Source organism: Homo sapiens, chromosome 5 (genome assembly GCF_000001405.40).
Source record: "Homo sapiens chromosome 5, GRCh38.p14 Primary Assembly".
Lineage (NCBI taxonomy): Eukaryota > Metazoa > Chordata > Mammalia > Primates > Hominidae > Homo > Homo sapiens.
The window spans coordinates 58,094,883-58,122,588 of NC_000005.10; the positions used below are offsets into that span (position 1 = coordinate 58,094,883).

At 38.1% G+C, this 27,706-nt stretch overlaps 1 long non-coding RNA gene across 1 annotated transcript; it reads right to left on the reverse strand.

Annotated features, from left to right (window-relative positions):
- Positions 1–12,749: 12,749 nt before the first annotated feature.
- Positions 12,750–27,459, reverse strand: LINC02101 (long intergenic non-protein coding RNA 2101). Its single transcript, NR_104669.1, has 5 exons — positions 27,437–27,459; positions 23,589–23,627; positions 21,580–21,769; positions 20,957–21,095; positions 12,750–13,533 (listed from the first exon to the last, which is right to left on the reverse strand). It is a non-coding gene; the product is annotated as a long intergenic non-protein coding RNA 2101 (long non-coding RNA).
- Between the last annotated feature and the right edge of the window lie 247 nt (positions 27,460–27,706).

The window sequence follows — 27,706 nt, forward strand, 5'->3', positions numbered from 1 at the left end:
CACTCACTATGTATCATCCCTCAAATTAAGGTCAAATATAATAATTTGGCTAACAGCTTCCTCATAATCTAGGCCCTCCCTCTCTTTTATAGTCTACTTTTGCTCCTTACATCCCAACCATAGAATTGGTCACATTTTCTGTTTCTAACCCTTGCACGCGCTACCAGTAACACCTAAGGCAGTGATTCTCAACCGCAGAGAATCATTTGAGATACCTGTGTCCCTGACAAACTGCTTGGGAATCTCTGGGGTAGACTGAAAGTTTCCCAGGTTTAAAACCCAGCCTGTATCAAGAGTCACCAGCTCAGGTTCTCACCCTTGGCTGCACATTAAATTCACCTGGAAACATTTAAAATCCCAATGCTCGCCTACATTCAAAGCCATTACATCGGAATCTCTAAGCATGGGACTCAAGCATCAGTACTTTTTTTAAAGTTCTCTAGGTGCTTCCAATTTTATAAAGCACTGTCCTCAAGGGTTCTCTCCTACAGTCTCTGGATACCTTTTATTTATTCTTTAGACCTCACCTAGATGGAACTTTCTGAGAAGACTTTACTGACCCAGGTGCTCACTTGAGTGTGCTTATACAATGTCTTTAGGCCATGACAACTTGACATAATTCCCTGTTTATTTATCTGTGTCCCCATCAGCTCTTGAGGGCAGAGACTGTGTGGTGCCCTTTAGATCCTTTAGAGCCCAAGGCAGGGACTATCAGGCAGTAAATGAGCATCCTTGAGCAGCGTCTCCTCTGTACCAGGCACTGTGCCTGAAGCGCCAAATGGTTTCTGTCCTCATGAGTTTCCAGTGCTCTCCTAAAATCCCCTATTCTTCCAACCTTTCAAAAGAGAACATATAGCAGCAATTTACCAACCAATTTCTTTGCCCCAGAGACGTGGTATGATGCCCAGGAGATAGAGCATAGCCCCACCCAGCTCCTAGTTTTACAAGGAAATCATCCAACAGGAGAGAGAGAAACTCCCAGAGAATATTTCTGACCCTAAGAACACTGTTCTCATCTTGTTAGGTCCCAAATAAAAAACTGAAAAAGTAAAGACACCAGTAAGGATGACAAATGCATGAAGGGTAATTTTCAGAACAGATTCTGGATACATCTGTTTCTATTTCAATTATTATTACGAACATAAGCAGGCTTCTGCTGGAGGGTTCTAAATGCAACCTGTGAAATTTGACTTAGGAAGCAACTAACAACATTGTCTGTAAAAAAGGAAAGGCACCATGCCAACGAGATATTAAGTAAATGAGTATAATAAGAATTGCATATATGTCCTTACTTTTAATCTTTGCAACAAAATGCTATTTCCTAGGCATTGTAGGATCATGACAGATCTGGATTCTGGTGCTGACTTTGCCACTAGCTATATAAACTCAGGCAAATTACTTCCCTTCTCTGAACCTCAGTCTTCTGGTCTGTGAAATGTGGACAGTCCAGTTATCCACCTCAGAGCGTTGTAAGAATTATATGAGATTGTTCAAGTAAATTTCTTAGCATAGTGTCTATCCTACAGTAATTTAATAGTAAATGCTTGCTCTTCTCATTATATTTTCTAGGCAAGGGTGGGAAACCCAGAGAGGAATTGCTTTTGATGGTAAGTGGGCTAAGACAGGGGTAAGAATTCACTGGAGAAGATGTTTTCCCCTTTGTGATGATGGATATTCAGGCTGCAGTCAACCACAGGTTGCACAAGTTTTATTTCCATTATTCACTGAAATTTGGCTCTAAGTTTTTATCATGACCCCCTTAAATGACTTGCCATGAATACTTAACCATAGTTTTCATTTCTTGCATGCTTTATTCTTTCCCTTTTCTTCCCTTTTACATATGAACATGTATGAAGATCAAAACTCTGGAGCTATCACGCCTCACTTAGACAGTAGATCCAAGTACAGGACTCTCAGGTTTCTTTAGCTTCTTATTGCTATTCATGGATCATTGTCCTGGTACAACAACTATCACTGGATTTCTCACTGATTCACATTTATGGGACTGTTTTTAAATAATGGGAAGTGGATAATCAATTAGGGAATTATTATGGGATAAATGAAATTCCTCTGAGTAGTGAAATATTAAAGTCTGTTTGCTATGATTTTTAAAAGTAACTTCAGTTTCATAGATAGAAATAATTTTTAGATCCATGCAAATGGTGCTACTGCAGCTATTTCAGTTGACGTATTTGCTGATTGTTATTTTGAAGGAAAAATTGGGTGGAGCATGTACTGGGAGAAGAGGGGGCAATGTAAGTTTGGAGAGGGAGGAGGTGTATATTTGTATGGGAGTTGGGCAGTTGCTGACTTTGTATGGATAAGAAAATCCATACAAGAATATACCATACTAAGGAAAATTGTCATCTCGTGAATTTCCTAAGGCCCACATCCATGGGTGGTAACATTAATTCATGTCCAACAAATCCATAGTTTTCCCAAAGGATCAGGAAACTAGACATCTAAAACATCTTTTCTCTAATTTTTTTCTTAAGTGTTCCTGATGCTGTGTTGATGAGAAATTTGTACTGCAATTTGTTTTCTCTCCTCTAAACACGATCTCCCTAAATATTCCCTACTAATCTTATATTCATGCTTATGGGAGATAGATAGATAGATAGATAGATAGATAGATAGATAGATGATTGATAGAGGCAAGAAGTCTAAGATAGAGTGTTTCATTTCCTCAGACCCTCAGATTTCCATGTTATAGTCAGATAATATAACCCCATCATCATTGTTGCTATCACCCCAAGTATTTTGACTGTGCCTTCATAGTGGCCAGTGAAGCCAGGCATGGTGTGTCACAGCAATCTCATGCTTGAGCATGCCATCCACATGAATTTTAATTGCTATAGCCAGATTGTGTCCTCTTTTACTTTATCTCTTAGACTTAATGGTGCCCATAATATTGACCCAATTCAAATAGTTCAACCTTATTCCTGAACTCTTTGGTCACAAGAGATCTCTGCTGGGAAAGTCTATCATGAGCAGCTCTGTTTGGTAGAGAGCTTAGAAAAATGTGTCCCTGACATGGAAAATGTAGGCCCAGTGGGTTTCGTGCTATAATTACATGTTTCTGGATTTATAAACCAATTCCATGATAAACCAAGCATAGTGCCCAGTTGGCAAATTGATGCCCCACTGACTCCAGGTTGGATACCAATACTGGAATTCCAGATTGAAACCTTGCTGCAATGCAGTCAGCCATATGCATAGTCATTTTTCTCACTGATTTTATTGAGGTCTAAGCTCTCCTACATCTTAAACCTGACTAGATATACACTAGGCAGGAGTTTGTTCATTAATAAGTAGATGAGGGGTTGGAGGAAGTTTTTTTTGAGGCAGATCTGAGTTTCTGAGAACATGTCTACCCTAGTGTTAGGAACTGAATCGTGTCCCTGCAAAATTCCTATGTTGAAATTCTTACACCTGGTACACCACATAACGTGATTCTATTTGGAGATAAGATCTTTAAAGAGATAATTAGGGTTAAATGAGGTTATATGGATGGGGCCTGATTTAATATGGCTGTGTTCTTATAAGAAGAGCGACACCAGGGATGTGTGTACAGAGAAGAAGGCCACGTGGGGACACAGCGAGAAGGTGCCTGTCTGCAAGCTTAAAAGAGAAGCCTCAGAAAAAACTGAACCCGCCAAGAATTTGATCTTAGACTTCCAGCCTCCAGAACTGTGATAAAGTAAATTTATGTTGTTTAAGCCACCTAGTTTGTGGGATTCTGTTATGGCAGCCCTAGCAAACTAATACACCTGGAGAAAAATTACGGCAAAGTTAAACCATCTTACTGAACGTGAAGAAGAAGGTGTCTTGTCATTTTTATATTACATTGCTTAGGTTTTTCTTATTTCTAGTCATTGAAATTACTGTAACCCTTAAATCTCAAAATATGTTATATTGGTGTTTTTTGTTTTAAGTTTCCTTTAAGGAGGTTTCCATTTGTTTAAGCCTCTTCTTTTGCATGGGTCCATTCAGTGGGCATTTTCTTCTTCACATGTTTCAGGGCATAAGGAAGTGAGTAAGAGAATGAGCTCCATGTCAGACCAACCAAGACTGTCGTGTCCAACACTAACTAGGATTATGACCATAGAATCTTACTATGTTCTCACAAGTTTTATGACCTTGACCCCTGTGACCTCTATGACTTTTCATAGGCCTTTATCAGCTTCACATAAATGCCTATAAAGGGAAATTTAGTACGAAATCTTTAATTTTTTCTCATCCCTCTCCCTATTCTTCCAGTGACAATACTTTGTCAAGATTCAATTTCCACTTCAGGAGTGCTATCAAAATATTATTTATAACCATATATAATTGCACATGAAAATTAAAGCAGTAGAAAGTTATTTTATGAGGCAGAACATGTGGAGCTAACTACATATGTTTAATTCTGTATACTCCAGAAGATGGTGGTTTGATAAAATGTTAAATATAAATTGGGGACTAGGATTTTGCTTAGAGAAAGGAATCATCTGTAATACTCAGTAAAAACCATCTGCCAAGGCGTCAGAACTCACACATGGAGGAATAAAATCCTCAAATAAACCACTGCAGAAAGGAACGGCTTCAGGGACCCTTCCACTCCAGGATGCCATCTGGCACACTCCTTCTTTCAGCTTATATGACTTCAAGAGCCTTGGAGCTGGTTAGCACTGTCAGAGAAACTTCAAGCATCAACCACAAACATCAAAAGTAAAGGTCTCATGCCCTCTTCTTCTTCATCCTTCAATACTACTTTTTTAGTTGTAGTTTGTTGCATAAATGGGTAAAGCGCGGAAGATAGCAGGAATATACAGTCATGTCATTTAAAATATGTTTGTCTTCTCTTTCTTTTTTTATTTTTGCTTTGTTATTTTAAGTGGGCATTTGTCAACTACAAAGACAACAGTAGGAACTTTAATTTGGATTATAACTCAACTCGCATTATAACTCAACAGAGGTCTTGACTTTTCTAAGATTCAGTTTTGCGATCTATAAAATGGGGATAGCAACACTTTGATATTGTAAAGATTCACTGTGGTAGAACACATTTGAGCTCCTAGCCCAGGCCCTGCTCAGTGCTCACAGATATTAGCTATGACCCTGGTTAGCCTCAGATCTCAAGAGCTACCTGCACAAAGACATTGCACATTGTCTTCCTCTTTGAGGTGTGGCAGTGCTACCTTCGTAGCTCCATCATCAGGTTTCTGAGATTGTTTTTTACATTTATCCATCTATTCTTTTATTTTTTTACATACTTCAAGTTCTGGGGTATATGTACAGAACGTGCAGGTTTGTTACAAAGGTATGCATGTGCCATGGTGGCTTGCTGCACCCATCAACCCACCATCTACATTAGGTATTTGTCCTAATGCTATCCCTCACCTAGCCCCCAACCCCCTGACAGGCCCCAGTGTGTGTGTGATTTCCCCTCCCTGTGTCCATGTGTTCTCATTGTTCAACTCCCACTTAGGAGTGAGAATATGTGGTGTTTGGTTTTCTGTTCTTGTGATAGTTTGCTGAGAATGATGGTTTCCAGCTTCATCCATGTCCCTGCAAAGGACATGAACTCATCCTTTTTTATGGCTGTATGGTATTCTATGGTGTATATGTGCCACATTTTCTTTATCCAGTCTATCACTGATGGGCATTTGGGTTGGTTCCAGGTCTTTACTATTGCAAACAGTGTTGCAATAAACATATGTGTGTATATGTCTTTATAATAGAATGATTTATAATCCTTTGGGTATATACCTAGTAATGGGATTGCTGGGTCAAATGGTATTTCTGGTTCTAGATCCTTGAGGAATCACCACGCTGTCTTCCACAATAGTTAAACTAATTTACGGTCTCACCAACAGTGTAAAAACATTCCTATTTCTCCATATCCTCTCCAGGATCTGTAGTTTCCTGACTTTTTAAAGATCACCTTTCTAACTGGTGTGAGATGGTATCTCACTGTGGTTTTGATTTGCATTTCTCTAATGACCAGTGAGATGAGCTTTTTATTCATGTTTGTTGGCTGCATAAGTGTCTTCTTTTGGGAAGTGTATGTTCATATCCTTTGCCTACTTTTCGATGGGATTGTTTGTTTTTTTCTTGTAAATTTCTTTAAGTTCCTTGTAGATTCAGGATATTAGCCCTTTGTCAGATGGATAGATTGCAAAAGTTTTCTCCCATTCTGTAGGTTGCCTGTTCACTCTGATGAGAGTTTCTTTTGCTGTGTAGAAACTCTTTAGTTTAATTAGATCCCATTTGTCAATTATGGCTTTTGTTGGCATTGCTTTTGGTGTGTTAGTCATGAAGTCTTTGCCCATGCCTATGTCCTGAATGGCATTGCCTAGGTTTTCTTCTAGGGTTTTTATGGTTTTAGGTCTTACGTTTACGTCTTTAATACATCTGGAGTTAATTTTTGTGTAGGGTATAAGGAAGGGATCCAGTTTCAGGTTTCTGCATATGGCCAGCCAGTTTGCCCAACACCATTTATTAAATAGGGAATCCTTTCCCCATTGCTTGTTTTTCTCAGGTTTGTCAAAGATCAGATGGTTGTAGATGTGTGGTATTATTTCTGAGGGCTCTGTTCTGCTCCATTGGTCTGCATATCTGTTTTGGTACCAGTACCATGCCCTTTTGATTACTGTAGCCTTGTAGTACATTTTGAAGTCAGGTAGCGTGATGTCTCCAGCTTTGTTCCTTTTGCTTAGGATTGTCTTGGTGATGCGGGCTCTTTTTTGGTTCCATATGAAGTTTAAAGTAGTTTTTTCCAATTCTGTGAAGAAAGTCAATGTGAGCTTGATGGGGATAGCATTGAATCTATAAATTACTTTGGGAAGTATGGCTATTTTCACGATATTCATTTTTCCTATCAATGAGCATGGAATGTTTTTCCATTTGTTTATGTCCTCTCTTATTTCTTTCAGCAGCGGTTTTTAGTTCTCCTTGAAGAGGTCCTTCATATCCCTTGTAAGTTGTATTCCTAGGTATTTTATTCTCTTTGTAGCAATTGTGAATGGGAGTTCATTCATGATTCGGCTGTTTGTCTGTTATTGGTGTATAGGAATGCTTGTGATTTTTGTACATTGGTTTTGTATCCTGAGAATTTGCTAATGTTGCTTATCAGCTTAAGGAGATTTTGGGTTGAGACGATGGGGTTTTCTAAATATACAATCAAGTCATCTGCAAACAGAAACAATTTTACTTCCTCTCTTCCAATTTGAATACCCTTAATTTCTTTCTCTTGCCTGACTGCCCTGGCCAGAACTTCCAATACTATGTGGAATAGGAGTGGTGAGAGAGGGCATCCCTGTCTTGTGCCAGTTTTCAAAGGGAATGCTTCCAGTTTTTGCCTACTCAGGATGATATTGGCTGTGGGTTTGTCATAAATAGCTCTTATTATTTTGAGATACATTCCATTGATACCTAGTTTATTGAGAGTTTTTAGCATGAAGGTATGTTGAATTTTGTCAAAGGCCTTTTCTTCATCTATTGAGATAATCATGTGGTTTTTGTCATTGGTTCTGTTTTTGTGATGGATTACGTTTATTGATTTACATATGTTGAACCAGCCTTGCATCCCAGGGATGAAACTAACTTCTTTGTGGTAGATAAGATTTTTGATGTGCTGCTGGATTCAGTTTGCTAGTATTTTATAGAGGATTTTCACATCGATGTTCATCAGGGTTACTGGCCTGAAATTTTCTTTCCTTTTCTTTTCTTTTCTTTTTTTTGGTTATGTCTCTGCTCAGTTTTGGTGTCAGGATGATGCTGGCCTCATAAAATGAGTTAGGAAGGATTCCCTGTTTTTCGATTGCTTGGAATAATTTCAGAAGGAATGGTACCAGCTCCCCTTTGTACCTCTGGTAGAATTCAGCTGTGAATCTGTCTGATCCTGGAATTTTTTTGGTTGGTAGGCTATTAATTACTGCCTCAATTTCAGAACTTGTTATTGGTCTATTCAGGGATTCGACTTCTTCCTGGTTTAGTCTTGGGAGGGTGCATGTGTCCAGGAACTTATCCATTTCTTCTAGATTTTCTAGTTTATTTGCATGAGGTGTTTATAGTATTCTCTGATGGTAGTTTGTATTTCTGAGGGATCGGTGGTGATATTCTCTTTTTTATCATTTTTTATTATGTCTATTTGATTCTTCTCTCTTTCTTCTTTGTTAGTCTTGCTAGTGGTCTATCTATTTTGTTGATCTTTTCAAAAAACCAGCTCCTGGATTCATTGATTTTTTTGAAGGGTTCTTTGTGTCTCTATCTCCTTCAGTTCTGCTCTGATCTTAGTTATTTCTTGTCTTCTGCTGGCTTTTGAATGTGTTTGCTCTTGCTTCTCTAGTTCTTTTAATTGTGATGTTAGGGTGTCGATTTTGTATCTTTCTTGCTTTCTCTTGTGGGCATTTAGTGCTATGAACTTCCCTCTACACACTGCTTTAAATGTGTCCCAGAGATTCTGGTATGTTGTGTCTTTGTTCTCATTGGTTTCAAAGAACATCTTTATTTCTGCCTTCATTTCCTTATATACTCAGTAGTCATTCAGGAGCAGTTTGTTCAGTTTCCATGTAGTTGTGCTGTTTGTAGTGAATTTCTTAATCCTGAGTTCTAATTTGATTGCACTGTGGTCTGAGAGACTGTTTGTTATTATTTCCATCCTTTTGCATTGCTGAGGAGTGTTTTACTTCCAATTATGTGGTCAATTTTAGAAAAGGTGTGATGTGGTGCTGAAAAGAATGTATATTTTGTTAATTTGGGGTGGAGGGTTCTGTAGATGTCTATTAGGGCTGCTGGGTCCAGAGCTGAGTTTAAGTCCTGAATATCCTTCTTAATTTTCTGTTTCGTTGATCTGTCTAATATTGACACTGGGGTGTTAAAGTCTCCCATTATTATTGTGTGGGAGTCTAAGTCTCTTTGTAGGTCTCTAAGGACTTCCTTTCTAAATCTGGATGCTCCTGTATTAGATGCACATATATTTAGGATAGTTAACTCTTCTTGTTTCATTGATCCCTTTACCATTATGTAATGCCCTTCTTTGTCTCTTTCGATCTTTATTGGCTTAAAGTCTGCTTTATCAGAGACTAGAATTGCAACCCCTGCTATTTTTTTGCTTTCCATTTGCTTGGTAAATATTCCTCCATCCCTTTATTTTGAGCCTGTGTGTGTCTTTGCACATGAGATGGGTCTCCTGAATACAGAACATCAATGGTTCTTGACTCCTTATTAAATTTGCCAGTCTGTGTCTTTTAATTGGGGCATTTAGCCCATTTACATTTAAGGTTAATATTTTTATGTGTGAATTTGATCCTGTCATTATGATGATAGCTGGTTATTTTGCTCGTTAGTTGATGCAGTTTCTTCATAACATCGATGGTCTTTTCAATTTGGCATGTTTTTGCAGTGGCTGGTACCAGTTGTTGCTTTCCATGTTTAGTGCTTCCTTCAGGAGCTCTTGTAAGGCAGGCCTGGTGGTGACAAAATCTTTCAGGTTTTGCTTGTCTGTAAAGGATTTTATTTCTCCTTCACTTATGAAGCTTAGTTTGGCTGGATATGAAATTCTGGGTTGAAAATTCTTTTCTTTAAGAATGTTGAATATTGGCCCCCACTCTCTTCTGGCTTATAGGTTTTCTGCAGAGTGATCCACTGTTATTCTGATGGGCTCCCCTTTGTGGGTAACCCGACCTTTCTCTCTGGCTGCCCTTAACATTTTTTCCTTCATTTCAACCTTGGTGAATGTGACAATTATGTGTCTTCGGGTTGCTCTTCTTGAAGAGTATCTTTGTGGTGTTCTCTGTATTTCCTGAATTTGAATGTTGGCCTGCCTTACTAGGTTGGGGAAGTTCTCCCAGATAATATCCTGAAGAGTGTTATCCAACTTGGTTCCCTTCTCCCATCACTTTCAGATACACCAATCAAATATAGATTTGGTCTTTTCACATAGTCCCATATTTCTTGGAGGCTTTGTTCATTTCTTTTCACTCTTTTTTCTGTAATCTTGTCTTTTTGCTTTATTTCATTGATCTTCAATCTCTGATATCCTTTCTTCCACTTGATCGTTTTGGCTGTTGATACTTGTGTATGCTTCATGAAGTTCTCGTGCTTTGTTTTACAGCTCCATCAGGTCATTTACATTCTTCTCTAAGCTGGTTATTCTAGTTAGCAATTCATCTAACCTGTTTTCAAGTTCTTAACTTCCTTGCATTGGGTTAGAACATGCTCCTTTAGCTTGGAGGAGTTTGTTATTACTCACCTTCTGAAGCCTACTTCTGTCAATTTGTCAAATTCATTCTCCATCCAGTTTTGTTCCCTTGCTGGTGAGGAGTTGTGATCATTTGGAGGAGAAGAGGCATTCAGGTTTTTGGAATTTTCAGCCTTTTTGCACTGGTTTCTCCCCATCTTCGTGGATTTAACTACCTTTTGTCTTTGAAGTCGGTGACCTTCAGATGGGGTCTCTGAGTGGACGTCTTTTTGTTGATGTTGATACTATTCCTTTCTGTTTGTTAGTTTTCCTTCTAACTGTCAGGCCCCTCTGCTACAGGTCTGCTGGAGTTTGCTGGAGGTCCACTCCAGGCCCTGTTGTCATGGGTGTCACTGGCGGAGGCTGCAGAACAGCAAAGATTGCTGCCTGTTCCTTCTTCTTGATGCTTCATCCCAGAGGGGCACCTGCCAGATGCCAGTCAGAGCTCTCCTGTATGAGATGTCTGTCGGCCCCTACTGGGAGGTGTCTTCCAGTCAGGATACACAGGAGTCAGGGACCCACTTGAGGAGGCAATCTGTCCCTCATCAGAGCTTGAACTCTATGCTGGGAGATCCGCACTCTCCCCATCTATTCTTATGTATATATTCACTGCATGTTACATACTAGGTGGATTAAGCATAAGGAATTCTCCTTCTTGTTCTCTTGGGACTTTGATTTAAAAGACTTATAGCAAAACTTCACTTTGGGTCCCAATGTTCTTTCAATGTTTATTTATCCATGCATTGTATGATGCATTTGGGAAGGTCTACTTGCTGGGAGTGCATCTGTTTTACTTTTACATAGTTCTCGATGTCACCACATTACCACCACTCTAGGTAAGCAGCTCTCCATGTTAGTCACCATGTAATAGGTTTTCTGGGACCACAATACCACTCCTAGAGCAAATTTCAAGTGTGGCTGCAATCCTTTCATCCTTGCCCCAGGCCATAGACATCACAGTTTATGGTTAACTCACCTTTCTAATCTTAAGCACTCCTTTCTACTGCCATCACCTCAGGTATTTTTTAAAAAGAGAAGGGCTTCCCTCAGCAGAAGCCCTATCTTCCTATTCTAATTTCTCTCCTCAATCTTTGCCCACTTTCTTGACTTACGGAATTACTTTTTTTTTGGCCACATAATCCACCGTAGTCAAGCAAGGTCAGACAATAGAACTTTTTGTGATGACAGAAATACACATACATACACAAAGATATGCATATATATGCACAGCATATATGTAAATATATGTGTGTGTGTGTGTGTGTGTGTGTGTGTGTGTGTATGCTGCCTACCAGCCATGTGGCTGTTGATTATTTGAAATGTAGCTATTGAAACAAAGCATATTTTAACTTTTAGTTTAAATTTAAATAACCACACATATTACTCTGTTGAACAACCTGCTCTAATACATATGATATTATTGCAGGAAACAACTAGATTCTAGTCAGGGACTCTCATAGGTACATGTGACCCAGATGCCTTCAGTCAGACTTAGCACCAACATATCACCTTTTCCCTTGGAGGGGAGAGCTGAAGTAGAAAGTGGACAACTTTACTCTTAGTTGTCCCTCCCTTTATTTCCTCTTTAGACTAACTAATAACTGTTACTCATTGCATTTTGCTAGGGACAAATATGCATATATTAACTAAAATATTCACAACAGTGCAGAAATACAGTAATTATCCATATTTTACAGATGAGTCTCAGAAGAATGAAGTAAGTTGCTTGACACTGCAAAGTTAATAAGCCACAGACTTGAGATTTAAACCAAGGTCTGCCTTAGAGACATCTCATCTTCTCACTGTCACTGCTCTCCAGCGTGTGACACACATCCATCTTTGGGATTATTTGTCATCATTGCACATTCAAAACACTGCCTGCTACTCAAATATCTTGGCTTCTTAGACTGATTTTTCTCTTTCTTTTCACAGCCTTTTCTCTGCTTCATATTTTTCTTTCCTAGATTTGTTTTTCCTCTTATATTTTTCTCCTAAAAGGCTACCATCCCCTCAGTTTTCCTGGTTTTACTGCCCTGCTCCCGTATCCAGCTTGCACTCTAGGGGTTAAGCTGATCTGATCACATTGCATTTCCTTACCGTGTTTCCTATGTGACTAAGCAATGCACAGCTGAGTTTTCAATGCAGTTCCATAGATTCCTGACTTATTTTTCCAAGTCCATATTTATACTTGAACAAGGATAACTTCAGCTGTCATTATAGCCTCTTGTAAACTCACTAGTACACATTTGAGGAGATGGGATGCTCTTTCAAAGGGCCAGGTCTTTTTTTGCCATCAATTTGTAGGGGCCTTATAAAAATAATCCAATGGCTATATTTCCTCAGTTCATCCTCCCAATCCCTAGGTGTGTTACTATTTCTCATTTTGCTAGTGAAGAAACAGAAGCTTACAATGATTTTGCAATTTGCAGCAACCATATGAGAAAATCAGAAGGGACTCAGAAAATAGAAGCTGTGCAACCTAAGGGTAAGGCACAATTCCCAAAGGTAGTAAAGAGTAACCTCTTCCTAACAAACTCAGTGGCATTTATTTGCAAGCAGTTCTCAAAAATAAAAATAGGCAAAAACTGGAAATGCTATTTCAGACCACACATCCAGACTGCTTCTCAAAATGACCTAATTGGAAATTTCTCAAGGCCGAAGTAGTCCATCTCCCTAGGCATACAATTTGCTGAGGGCAAGGAGTTAAAGGTAGCTACAGCAGCAGAGTAGGACTCTTTGTAATTGTGGGTGGATTTATGACAATACTCTGATAGCAACATAAAACCAGTATTTCCAAGCATGAGTCAACTTAGTGTTCTAGTAACTTGAGTAGTACACGATGGCCAGTAAATGCTCTGTAAATGGAACTGCAAAACATTTGATTTAAGCCAATTCACTTATCTTATGGAATTGCTGAGAGGTCTCCATGGGCATTTATTGCAGACAGCCCTTCCTTTGAAGGGCTGGAGCTATCTTCCTGAGTCAGAGTACTTTTGAGCATGGGAAGTCAACATTATCTTCCAAGGCTTCTTTACTGTTTGTGTAAAGCAAACTTCCATTTTACCAGATTTTTTAAATGAAACTCGTTTTATGTCTTCATTGGATTTTTTATTCACCTTCTTGCAAGATCATCAGTAGATATTCCATATGGGAGACATTGTCCATTTTTGAAAGGCGGCAAGAACAATGTTGTATAACTGTAGGTTCAAGAATTTTTCTCAGCATAACTTATCACTACTCATGAAGAAAATTTAGAAGGACATAGAAGGACGTTGCTATATCCAGCATTAATACCCAGGTCAGCTAGTCTAAAAAAAAAAACGGAAAGAGACCAAGTGGATCAGTGATGGGAACAACATGTGAAGGTTTTTAAAAACAATATTAGTAAAAACATAAACAGAGAGCAGTAAATCACTGTATTAGTTTCTAAGGTCTGTCATTACAAATTACTACAAACTGAGTTGCTCAAAACAGAAGTTTATTCTCTCACAGTTCTGGAGACTAGAATTCCAAAATCAGTCAGCAAGGTTCGTTCCTTCTGAAGTTTCCAGGGAAAAATCTGTCCTGTGCCTGTGTTCTGGCTTCTGGTGGTTTCCAGTGAGCCTTGACATTCCTGGCACTATTCCAATCTCTTCCTCACCATGATCCCTAAACATGATGCCAGTTCACAGTGACAGTCATCAAATGGCCTTCTTCCCATGTGTCTCCACATGACCATCTTCAAAGGACACCAGACATTGGACTTAGGACCTACCCTAATCCAGTATCACCTCATTTTAATTTAACTGATTATGTCTGCAAAGACCGTTTTTCCAAATAAGGTAACATTTTGCAATTCCAAGTAGAATAAATTTTGAAGATGCTATTCAATCAGTACAATCACTTCAGGAATTATCAGTGTCCCCTTATCTCAGAGCTCTGTAGAGAGCTGACATCATGATCAAGAGTAGTGGGACTGGGAACCTGGAGGCCAGTTTATGCTGCAAGCTGCTCTGACTTTGGATTTGACTTAGTCATTCACACACACCGAGGGGACTGGGGGAGTTCTGGAGCCCTTAGCATAGATCTGTGAATGAGCTCTAAGGCCTCCATTAATGTTCTGAAATTGTATGCACATTGTTGTGTCAGGCAGTCTTATGTTTTCTTCAAAATGGAATTTCCTTGCCTTTTCTGAGGTCCTCCAATGTGTCTTTGACCCAAGAAGGCTAGTAACAAGTGCACCAAATCATCTATAAAGTCCAGCAAAGGATTCTGATTTCTGTACGTATAGTTGACCTGTGTTGTGTTATTTTATGATACATTCAGGGCTTCTGGATAGCATGTTAAAAGTCTAGCCCTTAAGATTATTTTATTTTGAAATGTTTCTGGCTCATTGATTTCCAATTTGCCTCTTTCTACATAACGCACAGGTGGATCAGTTTTTACTTGGCTCATGTTTTATGCAATAGGAAATGTAAATGAAACTCAGAACCGGGGTAAACAAGCTAATATCAGCATAAGGGGAAGAGAGAAACACAGGTGAACAGGTTTATGGCTTTATGTGCAGGGTTTGATATCAAAGGACTTGAAAGGGAACTGGTGAAAGGAGAGAAGTAGGGGAGAGGAGGAAACGCTGGAGGTTATGCTGTGGGATTTGCAGCTTTATAGCAGGATTCACTTTCTGTCTGTCTGGAATGATACTGACCTGACATTTTAGTGTCTCCCAGAAAATAACAACTTCTTACTTATTAAAAATAATTCCATTTGAGAACCACTCTTATCAGATTACACATCCTCTACTGTGTTTTTAAAGGAACACATTCCCTCTGCCCTTCGTAGCACCTTTAGTGGATATCCACATATTAGCACAGCCGGCTCTTCAGAAACGATGAGTAGAGTTAGTTCATTCCACGGACCATCTGGCCTCCTTTTACTTCTCCTACCTCTTTTTTTCATCTGCCCGATCTTTGTTTTTTTCATCTCTTTGGAGCCTCCCCACAAAAGGATGAGTGAGAGGAAGGAAAGTGAATTATAGTCTACTGATCCAGATTGTTGCTTTTCTATCATGTGCAAAAGGTGTGATCAAGAGCACTGATTTTAGCTATAAACATCTTCTCTTGGCCTATTACCACAGAAAATCAAGTTAAACTTTTTCATGTTATAGTATAGAATTAAAAATTCACCTTTATTTAGTGAAGGCTGAGTTTAAAATAACATGTCTAAGGAAAATGAAAAAAAAAAACCTCTTTATTCATGGTATTTTGTGTTTGTTTTTCCTCATTATTTTAAGCCTAATTTCTACTTCTGTAAATGGAATATGTGAAAAATACACCAAATAATAAAACAATTTTTATTAGATTTTTCTACTCTAGTCTGGAGATGTTCCAGTCTCATATGTACTTGACCAGAGTCTATTTCTCTTGCCTATTCTTGAATCTACACTACTGACTGTTCCCCTCAGATAATAACAAAAAACCCCAGAAAAAGTCCTTCAGAAGTGAGTGCTAAATCTTTTGCCAAGAGTAGACTTTCTGCACATCTTTATTAAAAAAAGAGTAAACCATGGTGTAGCCTGAGTCTCCCAGTGAATGTTGAGTTTATGATTATTTTTTAAAGGTCAATGAAAAGAATGAAAAGCACTGAGCAGGGTTGGAAATGGCATCCTCAATTATATTGGCCAGGAGATGAATCCCAGGCAGGCAGAACTTGAAATCTACCATGAAAACAGCCTTGATCTTTCAAGCTTGAAATACAATGGCGATGGGTAGGATTGGAAAACTGGAAGAAAAAACTACAACCCTAAATAATTCCTCATTACCCAGATATCATAGCTAGAGACCACTAAGGGTCAACATAGTCACTGTCAGTCTTGTCCCTCTGTTTAAAAAGTTAGGACTAGTAGATGTCAGTTGAAAGCTCAATAACTATATGAATTTAGCCATTTTGAATTTGTCATTTTAGCTTTCTCATGATCAATTTGTCACTTTCCAAATAGCTGAAAATTAGCCAGTTAACTAATTTACTTTAAAATAGGATAGCATTTTAATATAAAAAGATATGCATAAATTTTAATATATATGTATGATATATGTATATGTGTGTATATATATGTGTATATATTTGTAGAGAGAGAGAATTTTTTTTCTAAGTAGGGTCATAGAGAACACATTACCTCGATGATAGCTTTCTAAGACAAAATCTTAACCAAGTAAAGCAAAAGCATTGTGAATAATTTCAAGTTCATAGTTTTCAATAGATTTTAATTTTTTTAATACTATATTCAAGTAGAGACAGCTCAATTGAAGTCATTCATAATTAAGCTGTATCCTCTATTATAGTTTTTCTTGTCTCTAAAAAATTGCAATTTAGGGGAAACTGCAATACAAACAGAACTGAGGCTAGGGCTTTACATTTTACCTGGCTAATTTCATGAATCTTTACCAATTCAATGATCTCTCTGACAGTAACAACTTCTAATTTTCTTACCATGCCCTTCCTCTCTTGGATCTAAAAGCTTCAATAAGAGATGAAGCCCATTATGTGAAATATATACTAATATCCTCCAAAGGCATGGAGAGGCTGGGTAGGGTTTTTCCTACCAATTTGAATGTTCAAGTCCAAATATTAAAATGTAAAAGTTGTTACTATGCCACAAGGAAGGAGTAGTGGCCAAGGTAAATTTCAACCAAGTTCATATCAAAAAGTATTTCCTAAAGTGGAAAGTTTCCCCAAAGGCAGAAGAAAAATCTATTAACAGAACACTTTGAAGGAGATGGGCCAAAATATAAAGGAAGTCTTTCTTACCCTTAGCAAATTGGCAATCCAGAAGATACTTTCAATACCCTAGCTTATGTGTGTGACAAAAAAAGAAAAACAGAAGCTGATTAAATATTTATCTAGTTACTCTAAATGACCTTGTATGGTGCTTAAAATATAATTAATTTTAAAAAATAAATAATTTCTCCTGTTTTTGCTACAGTATCACACCACAGACCTCCCTTCCTTCCACACATATTAATGCTCTGATACCATTTACTTGGGTCTAAGAAATCTTAGACAAAGAAACTGCTTTAGTTGTGCCTAGCAAAACTTCTTTTTGTTCTGGAAGTTTTACTATTCTGAGAATGAACTTGGCCATTAACTATCAAAGTCCCTCAAGATAAAGTGGCATTAGGTAAATGATGGCTTAAATAATTCTCAACATTCGGTGTCACAAGGCCATAATAAAACTCTTCCTAGTATATGTAACTATGAATGTTAATCAGAGTCTGTCTAGATACCCAAATAATTTGGTGAAATTCTGAGGCTTGCTAAGACTTGAAACAGCAAGTTAGAATGTGTGGAAATACTTGACCCTATAGGAATTTTGAATTTGAGGATTCTTTGCTGTGCAACACTAGAAGAGGTTTAGTAGCATCCCTGGCCTATATAGAATAGATGTCATGTACACCTCCTTCCCCAAGCTGAGACAACTAAAAATGTCTCCAGACATGGCCAAATGTCCCCTCAGGGACAAAATCACCCCCACTTGAAGAAAAACTGCTTTAAATTATGGCAGACGGGCTAAACAATTCATCTTAAATCCCATTTATTCTTTTCTGCTTCAAGATTTTTCCTAAACACTTTATTCTTTTCCTTTAATACCTGAAAATATGGCAAATCTCTGACAACTTTGTGTTTTTACTGTCTTTAGGTTTTATACTATTGGGGAATGAATCCTATAAAAATGCCCACCTCATCCTGGCCAACATGGTGAAACTCCGTCTCTACTAAAAATACAAAAAGGAGCTGGGCATGGTGGCGCATGCCTGCAGTCCCAGCTAGTTGGGAGGCTGAGGCAGAAGAATAGCTTGAACCTGGGACGCAGAGGTTGCAGTGAGCTGAGATTGTGCCACTGCACTCCAGCCTGGGCGACAGGGCCGAGACTCTGTCTTAAAAAAAAACACACACACAAAAAAAACCCACCTTTCCATCTGGTCCAATGTCCAAGCTGCTCAGCCCTAATCTCTCTACTCTAAAGGGAGGAAAAAAATAAAAATAAAAACAAACAAACAAACAAAAAACAACCCTGCTTCAAAACTGGAGCTCCTTCATTCTTCCGTCTTATCGCCAAGCTGCTTTCTGGGCTGGAGGTCTCCCTAGTAGTGTGGACCCAACCTACAGCTAGGATTTTTGAGTTCTGCGGTTCCTCTGCTGGAAGGGCTTCAGTGGTTGCTTCGAGGGTATGTTCCAGCATTTCTGAAACTAAGCGTAGCGGGAATAGGAAGGAGCTAGGAAGAGATTTAGAGACCCCACCCCCAAACTTGGGGCCACCTGAACTCCAACAAAACAATAGGACTTATTGTTTACTAACTATACAGGAAACGTTTCGATAGTGTTCTGCACACAAACTCTGGCAGGGCCCTGGTTCTAAACATTCCTTAAGCTAAACAAGTCAATTCTCATAAAAATGATCTCATGAACGAATTTTACAGCTTTTTTTCTGAAAAGATTTTTTAATCCCCCAGCTTATTAGAAGGCTGCTCTGTCTATTGTTTCCATTGTCTTTGAATAGATAATGGACAAAGGAAAGTAAACTAGGTCTCTTTCCTCTTGCTGATCTTGCCATTTCTCCCCTGCATTTACATCAAAAGCTTCTAGGTACCAAGACGAAATCATTATTTGCGTTATTAAAAATGAGTAAAGTGCACATAGTCTTCTCCATCAAGTTTTGATTCCTGCTTTGACTCTGAATACCACATTTAATGTTAACATAGAACACAGATTGCAACAAAGCAATGCGAAGCGATAATAGACTAATAATGATAATGCCATAGATATCAATAATTGTAGATTTACTCTGTGCCAAAGATTATGCTAGTTATTATTTTTTATTTTTTTTTACATTTAATCACATACAGTCCTCATTGCAGCCCTATGAAGTAGGTCTCATCACTCTATTTTGAGAGAAGGAAACTGAGGCTTAGAGAGATTAAGATCACATATTTTAAGTAGAATTCAAGCTCATTTGTGACTAACGTCAAAGCCTGTATTGATAGATATATGATACATAGATAGGCAGGTACATAGATGATAGATGATAGATAGATAGATAGATAGATAGATAGATAGATAGATAGATAGATGATATGTATAGATAGATAGATAGATAGATAGATAGATAGATAGATAGATAGACAGACAGATAGATAGAAGTTGGGTAATCATGATACTACATGATGCTAGGACCCCTCCCCCTGCCAGGAATTCCCTAAACAGAACACCATGATGTGAAAGTTGGCTCCCAAAGGCCAACTTGGCTACAAAGAGAGACTCTCTTTCTCTACTCAAGGAGGTGTTTCTCATAGTCTGATCCAATGAATACCTGCTTAGTAACTGTCACTGTTGAAGAAGTAGATTCATGAGTCTTATCCCAGGCCTAATGAATCAGAATATCTGGAATGTGTGGGAAGCTGACTCAAGCATATGCATCTTTTAAAAACTCAGATTGTTCTTCTGCCCCGAAATCTTGAGAACCACTGACTTATGTGGTCAGAAGTGATCGACTCCCTGGGCTGGGAAGCTCCAATTTTCTCCTCCAGATTTCCTGTGTCGCCCTCTCCTCCCTGTCCTCTGCCCCATTAGGGAGGATGCATGGATTCCTTCAGCAAGCTCTTTGTCCTTCGGTTTCCAGGTGAGTTTAGGCAATGAGAGGGGTGGGGAGAGGCATTAATGAGAGATCAAAGAAGGGAGAGAAGTGAGGACACGGTCTGTATATCTCAGGCTGTTTCCTATGCAGTCATTGCAGATTGGCTGCCTCACGCTCCCAAAGGTCACAACACCTGACAAAGCGGCCCTCTCGGTATCAGAAAATCTCCATATTCCAGGATCCATACCCTCTTTAAGTGCCATTTAGGTTCTGGGTGAAAAATGCTCCTTTCTGTTACTAGTTTTGGAGTACTGCGGTATTCTCTATTGTTTTTTTATGTCTGCCCACATCTCTGTGAATAGTCTCCTTGTTAAATTCTCTACACACTTCCCCATTTGAAGGTGTCATCTGTTTTCTGGCAGAACTCTGATTGATACCCTTATAAATGTGACTCAAGCATCTATAATTTGTCTACTTCTTTTGGGTTATTCTTGCTACATTGCACCTATTAGGGACTTGATGCCTGTAAGTTGCTTAATCTGTTCTATTTTTCCAGCTGTGGTGATAATCAAATGAGATGAATATATAACATGCTTTTCATGTGCTTATTGTTGACTGTCAGTTAATGTTAGTTCCTGGCCCTCTATTTACAGCACACTCTTCATCTCATCATTCATCATTTAATGTAATTTGATTGGTCTTTAAGGAGTTGCTTACCCTCTCCAGGCCCTCTTTGTTTCTGCCCCTCCTCTCCTCCAGTTGTCCACTAGCTCTTCCCATCAGAGGACCCTTTTGTTCACTGGGTCTTTCCTAGTTGGTTCAATCTTATTGGTATTTACTGTGTTCACTCTAAGAGCTAGTCTATCAGCTCACATGCTCTCCAAGAAAGCCATGTCCTTTCTCTCTGTCTGTGCACCAGACTTTCCCAGGAACTCCAGACTTACCCTTTTCTTCTACGCTGCTCTGATTTGAAGGCATCTCCAGACTTAGAATAAAGAACTTTCCTGAACTAACCTTCAATTCATGGGAGAGTCTATACTCCTTCAGCACCTAGAGATTGCCTCTACAATTTGAAAACTTTTTTTTATCCCCCAGTTACACTTATAAACACAATAATCTCTCACCATCTGGAGCTTCAAAACTCTTATTCTGGAATATCACTCTGCAGCTAGCTGTCTTCAAGTTGTCGCCACTGTCCAAATATTTATGTGCAGGTGATGGGCCCTCCTCAGCCTGGCTGCAGTATAAAATGAGTTCTGTAACCTAAGAACAAAGTTATCCAGGGAGATTAAGTGAATCTGTTCACTTGAGCACCAAACAGGTGCTAGGCATTCTGTTCAGCTCTAAGTTTCTTTCTGTCCATACCACATGCAAGAATACAGGCAAGGAGTAAGTCAGGGTCTCTTCACTCAATCAACTTTCATAACTCTTTAAGAATTAACCTGTGAATTTTTGAAGAAGGCAATTAAACTTGTGGAGAATGACAGCCCAGACCCTGTAATTGAATCCCTCTAATGTTATTCTGTATGTTATAGTAAACGAAATATAGAAGATTTACAGTAGGTTATGATTCTAATAAGGCACTGTTTATGTCTGCTAATCCATCGTGATCCAGCCTGAATTCCACATTTTAGCTGGAATATGTTATGTACACTAAGGTACCTGCTTCCTGCCTCAGGATTCTGATTCCTAGGTCTCATAACTTGATTACGATTTCCTTGTTTAAAAGTAGTTTTAAAGTACCTACATGTTGATCAGTTGGTAGTGCCACAGTCTTCCTACAGGGTTTTCTGTAAATGTTGACTCCTGTTGCTGGACTTCTCTGCTGCGTGCTCTGGGGCTTTCATTCTGTGATCTATGGCAGTTATGTTTTCTTTGGGAACACAGTGTTATTCCACAGTTCCTGTTTCATTTGCTCTTTGTTCTGTGCCTAGTGTCTGGAAAGAAGGTTTAAAATCTTTTGTGGGGAAGACATGCTTATGCTTAGGGTATAAACTGAGGCTTCATTTGTGCAGATCTCGAGTATACTAGGCACCAATAGCATAAGATGCAACTGTTTGATTCCTTTGATTCCTTCAACCCACATACACTGAGGGTTACCCACACATGCTATTTATGCGCAGAAAATAATGCTGTTATCTAAAATGTCTAAGATTGCACTTGTCTTGAAAATTATTAGAGCTCTTGGTTTTATACATGAATTTTCATAGTAAGGAACTCAATTTTGAAAGCTAAAAAGATTTCTCTAATGTGGTTATTCCGAAATAACCCACTTTTCACATTTTTTCTTTGGAATGGATTAGGTAGAGCTTTGGAAGGGTAGAGTGGGATGGATATTTATCTTTTTCTTGTCCTTATTTATCTTTTTACTTGTCCTTATTTAGCCTTTTTTTTCCGAAATATATCCCACAGGTGTGGATGAAGGGGCTGGATGGGTGCAACCCAAAATTTGTCTGAGAGAATGAGGGAAATAAACCTAGGATTTAAAAAATATTAAACAGTCCCCAAGCTAAATAATCCATGTGTGGGAAACTCACACACTACTGAAAATCTTAATCAGGATCAGAGGGTAAAAGAAATAATGCACTCAGTTAAGATAAATTCATTTTGATCCTAGGAACCTAAGCCTGCAGAGGTTCAAGCAAACACAACTCTAGCCAAACTTTTGATATCAGCATAAACTCTTGACCGTGTAGACAATAAAAAACTGCAGTAAAAACCAGTAGTTTATAAAGTAAGTTTCTTAAATTTATTTCCCAGTTGCTATTCCAAGCTACAGATTTTTAAAAATGCTTTTAGGAAGGTAGAGTACCTCTTCACTCTCAGAGAAAAGCAAAGGAGGAAGATGGATTGCTTTTTTTGAAACATAATACTGAAACTTCCTGGAAGCCATCTATTTCCAGATTTCTAAAAGATGTTATCTTTCACCTTCAGTGGAGAACTAAACATTATCACCAAGGCTACTGCATCTTCAAATATTTGAAGACAATCGGTGTCTGTCTGTTCTGATTGCATCTGACGCCAAGCTCAGGTTAAATTACAACCATTAAGAGCTGAATAATGTGCCTCAAACAAAATATATTATCTGTACTCCCCAGTGGAAAGCTACTGAGTTGTCTTCCCAGATCACAACAATGTCCCTTCCTCTGAGGCCCCCATTGCTGTGCTGCAGAAGTAGAATTCTGATAAGCCTTTCTCCCACCATATGACCCTGCTTCCTGGCCACAACTAATTGTTACATGGGTGGACACTGGATCCAAACTGGGCCAATCAGAGAATCAAAGTCTCTTCTAAAGTATTGGAATTCACACTGGGAAATATTTCCCTGTATGTATCTGTAATACACCAATTTGGTGATCATGCTTTCTGCCACCAGTACTGGAGAATCAATATGTGTATACAATTGTGGTAATATCCTAAATGATCTTCCAGAAACTATGGTCTCATCCATCATACTGCTCACCTACTACTTAAATGTGGTAACTTTTATAAAAACAAATATGATCATATCACCCCATTGCTGAAAATCTCAAACAGCTATCATATATGAAATCAAATCCAAACCCACAATATGGCTTACTCACGTCTTCATAGCTTAATTTCCACAAATCTTTTAAGCCCCGTATCCCACCAGTCCTGTTGTTTCTCCCATCAGATCTTCTAAATGACCCACAGACACAAATGTACAGTCTAGTCATGTTGAACATCTACTCTTTAAACACATTGAATGCATCCTAACTGCTTGACTTTGCATACCTGCTCTTTCCTCCTCTGAAAGATTCAGTTGTGACTAACCTGAAAAAGAAGGAAGAGCAGGTTTTGGCAAATTGTTGTTCATCCTTCAAGTCCTAGCTCAAATACCATCTCTCCCAGAAGCCCTCCATGTCTCTTGTGTGCTTTCTTACAGTGCTTCACCTCTTTTAGGAAACCCTCTGCCAAGTCCTAGAGGAAAAGCTAGCAGCTCCTCTTTCTTTCTCTCACTGTGCTTTGTTTATGTCTGTCCTTCATAGCATTATTAGCATTTACTGTAATTTTTAAAGTCATGTCTGTCTTCCCTTCGAGACTAAGAGTTACTGGAAAACAATGAACACATCTTACATCCCAATGCCAGTGTAGAGACTGGTCTTTTCACTGTTAAGTAGCTTGACAGTATAGAAGTCGGGATGCTGTTCTCACCAGCAAGTTTTTGCCTTATATGTCTATCACCTAGTTCTTCCAACTGGCTAATTTATTTAAAAATCATAATAATAGGAATTAAAGAGTTACTTACTATTAGAGAAGTAATTTTTCAGCAGGCTTCTACACAGCCCTCAATAAAATAAATGCTCAAATTGAAATTACTCTTTCTCATATATTTTCAATTTTTAAAAAGTGTATGAGAAGAGGACCAGCTATTGACTTTAGCAGTACAGTACTTTTAAAAATAAGCAACAGCAAAGCAGAAGGTATGGGAGAAAAAACTGACTTGACTTTAGACTTCAAAAAGGTCAACCTTAAATATGGGTAGTCGCACAACCAGATAGTCCTCTTGTGGTTTGTTTCGTTCAGTTAAGAAATTCTTTCTGGGAAAATGGGATTAAAATAAAATAAAGTCCACTCTGAAGAGTTTAAAAATAACCTAATATGCTGAGGAAGTGTTTACTTTTATTCCATCTCAGTTCATCTTATCTTTATTTGGAATTTGTGCAGCATCTTTGAAATAAACCACTGAAGATGACCTCATGAAAAAAATGTAAAGTTTTCTTTTCTTTTTCTTTCCTTTTTTTTTCAAATATGAATAAAACCCTAACAAGTGTATCTATGTACTTCCTGTTCACACTGCTTATGTTTATCAGTGCAATTAGTATTGTCTTAGTATGCTTTACTTAGTGGTTCACTTAATTAAGACTCACTTGGGATTTTTCTTCCAATATATTAGGCTTGGGGTCATTAGGGCCACTGCTGTGCCACTTCAGTGATTTCAAGCTAAAATATGCATACCTTAACAGGTAGTTTTTCCATGGATTACTATGTGAGAACTTGCTATCAGCCTTGCACTCTTTGAAAGTAAAATATAAATGGACCAAATAATCTACTCTTCTAAGGTGTGAAACTCAAGATAAAATATAGGTCATATATATTTTATTATTTAAAAAATATTTTGTCTACCTCTTAAATAGGTATTACTATAAAAGAAAAAAATCTATTTAAAGCTTTAAGTAAAACAAAGCACATCAAGGATATATCCACTTAAATATGATTGAAAAGCATAAAAGGAATTTCTGCCTTAAAAGAAATATATATCATCTCTTTCTTGCATCACTGACCATCATAATGACCTCTGTAATAGCCCTTAAGTTTGGTGTCTGAGCTTCCAAGATTGATGCTACCAGTTAATTAACCTCGCATGCTTCTGGGAATCCAGTCAAGTCGACCTTCATGTTATATACATAAGCACATCTTCCCAGAGATGTCCCAGATCACAACTGATCTAGAAAACTGCTTTAAATACCTACACACACAACACAGAAATTCCTTGACAGTGATGAGCCTCTAATACCCAGTAAATTGGTTATTAATAGTGAATATAAATAACAACTCCCCTCTTGACAGCATTCTAAGCTGTTTGTCAGTCCTTGGGAATATTAAAGTGTTCGTCTGCATGTTCTCTGTATTCTGTAATTAAAACGTAATGCTATTGTACCCAAATCTTAGACTTTTGGAAAACTATGAATTATGCTGTATTAGTTATCTATTGCTGTGTAATAAATTACTCAAAAACTTAATGCTTAAAACAATAAGCATTTTTTATCTCAGTTTCTGTCGATCAGGAATTAGAGAGCAGCTTAGGTGGGTAATTCTAGCCGACGACTGGTGAGTTTGTTGTCAGGATGTCTGTGAGAACTTCAGTTATCTGGAGGCTGGCCTTGGGCTGCAGAATCAACTTCAAAGATGGCTCACTGACATGGCTGTTCGTTGGAGGACTCAGATCCTAGCCCCATGAATCTCTCCATAGGGTATAGGGCACAGGGTAGCTGAGCCCTTTGATAGCAACCTTCTCCCAAAATAAGAATTTCAAAAGGGAGAGCAAGGAGAAAACCACGATGCTTTTTATGCTTTTTATGACTTAGTCTGGAAAGCAATGTACTATCACTTTCACGATATTTTATTTGTGGGAAGCAAGTCATTAAGTATAAGCCATAATCAAAAGGAGGTGAATTAGGCTCCACATTTTGAAGGAAGGAGTATCAAATAGTTTGGGACATATTTTAAAGGCACCACACTTGCAAATTTGTCTTCTACAAATAAATATTAGATGTATATGATGCCCATCAACAGATGTATTAATAGAAACGGAAAATTAAATGGATAAATTGTATGGTGTGTGAATTATTTCTCAATAAGACTGTTAATATTTTTAATAGAAAGAAATGGAGAGTGCACTTTATTAAGAGAGACAATTAAGATCTTTGGAGCCTGTTACGTACCCAGTATTTTACCTAGCATAGTTTATTTAAACTTCAAAACAAACATAAAATAGTGGTGTGCTGGAGCTGGTTCACACTGGCTTGTGAGAGACAACTGTTAGCATCTCTATAAAGTTCCATGCTTAATAACATCATATTGGAGGTTTAAAGTCAACCATGGTGGGAGTATCATATACTAAGGGGGATCACTGATTTGTAGAATTTACCAATTTCCGTTGTATAATTGGCCCTAATTTACAGAGAAGGAAAATTGGAGAATGAGAGGTTTTTAAATTTGTTCTAAAAATTGTCTTGATATTTTTTCTTCCTCCAAGCGGTAGTAAATGGAAAGACCAGAGTTTGAACCCAGTGTTGAATGCATGTAGAGCTAGCTTTGTTTATAATATGCATGCTGCCTCTCTAAGAGGATTAATTACTACACATTGCAAATCATCTTCCTTGGCTCCATCATGATATTGCTGTGTTTATGATAACAATGAGGACTAACTACAGCTAATTGGCTGACCATTTAAGGTTGGGAAATAATTCTATTTAAGTCCAGAGACTGGAAAAAAGACTAGTAAATATCAAAAATTAGAAGAGCTAACTTCAGTTTAATATTAAGTAGAAAAATGAAGAGAGAGAAGGTAACATAGGGGAGAACTACAGTCTGTTAAATAGGAAATTGTTAGAAATTAGATATATGAAACATCTCTGCATTATCCAGCAGTGTGAGAATATTTTTTGCAGCACAGAAAACACTGAATCTCCTTTTTCTAGTTTGACATTTATCTCTCAAATATGATATTCACTACCTCTAACCTCAGATAAACACTCTTGAAAAATCATTTTTTATTTATACAATTTGGCCCTATTTTGCATATTTAAAACATCTATATTCCACACATACATACAGAGTTATGCAGACTTATTCCCATGCAGGTATCCATACAAACCCTAATGCACACATCCCCCAAAATGGAAGCTAGCAACATGTAGAAGATGAAGAGAGAAGATGAAATTGGCTTCTCTGGAACAATAGTTTTTCAGCAATAACCCTAATAGCTCAAAAATGATCACATTTAGAGATACTAAATTAAAACACCGTGCCAGAGACTATGGACCTGTGCATTAAGGCACACACATATGAAATCTCACCACCATGCTAGAGATGAAAACATGACAGTTAGGTTACCATGGAGACAGAAGCAGAGACACTAGCTACTAACTCTGAATACCAATTAACATCTAGCACTTCTTTATGTTACTAAAATTGGTTGCCAGGGCAACTCAAAGGATTGGCTCAGGTTATCAAATTAATTACAAACCAAATCTAAAAAAGTCAGATTCTTTAGAATTTTATGAGCGTTAACTTAAATAAATTATTTATGGGGATTCATGCTGGTCTCAGGATGGCAGCTGTTATCT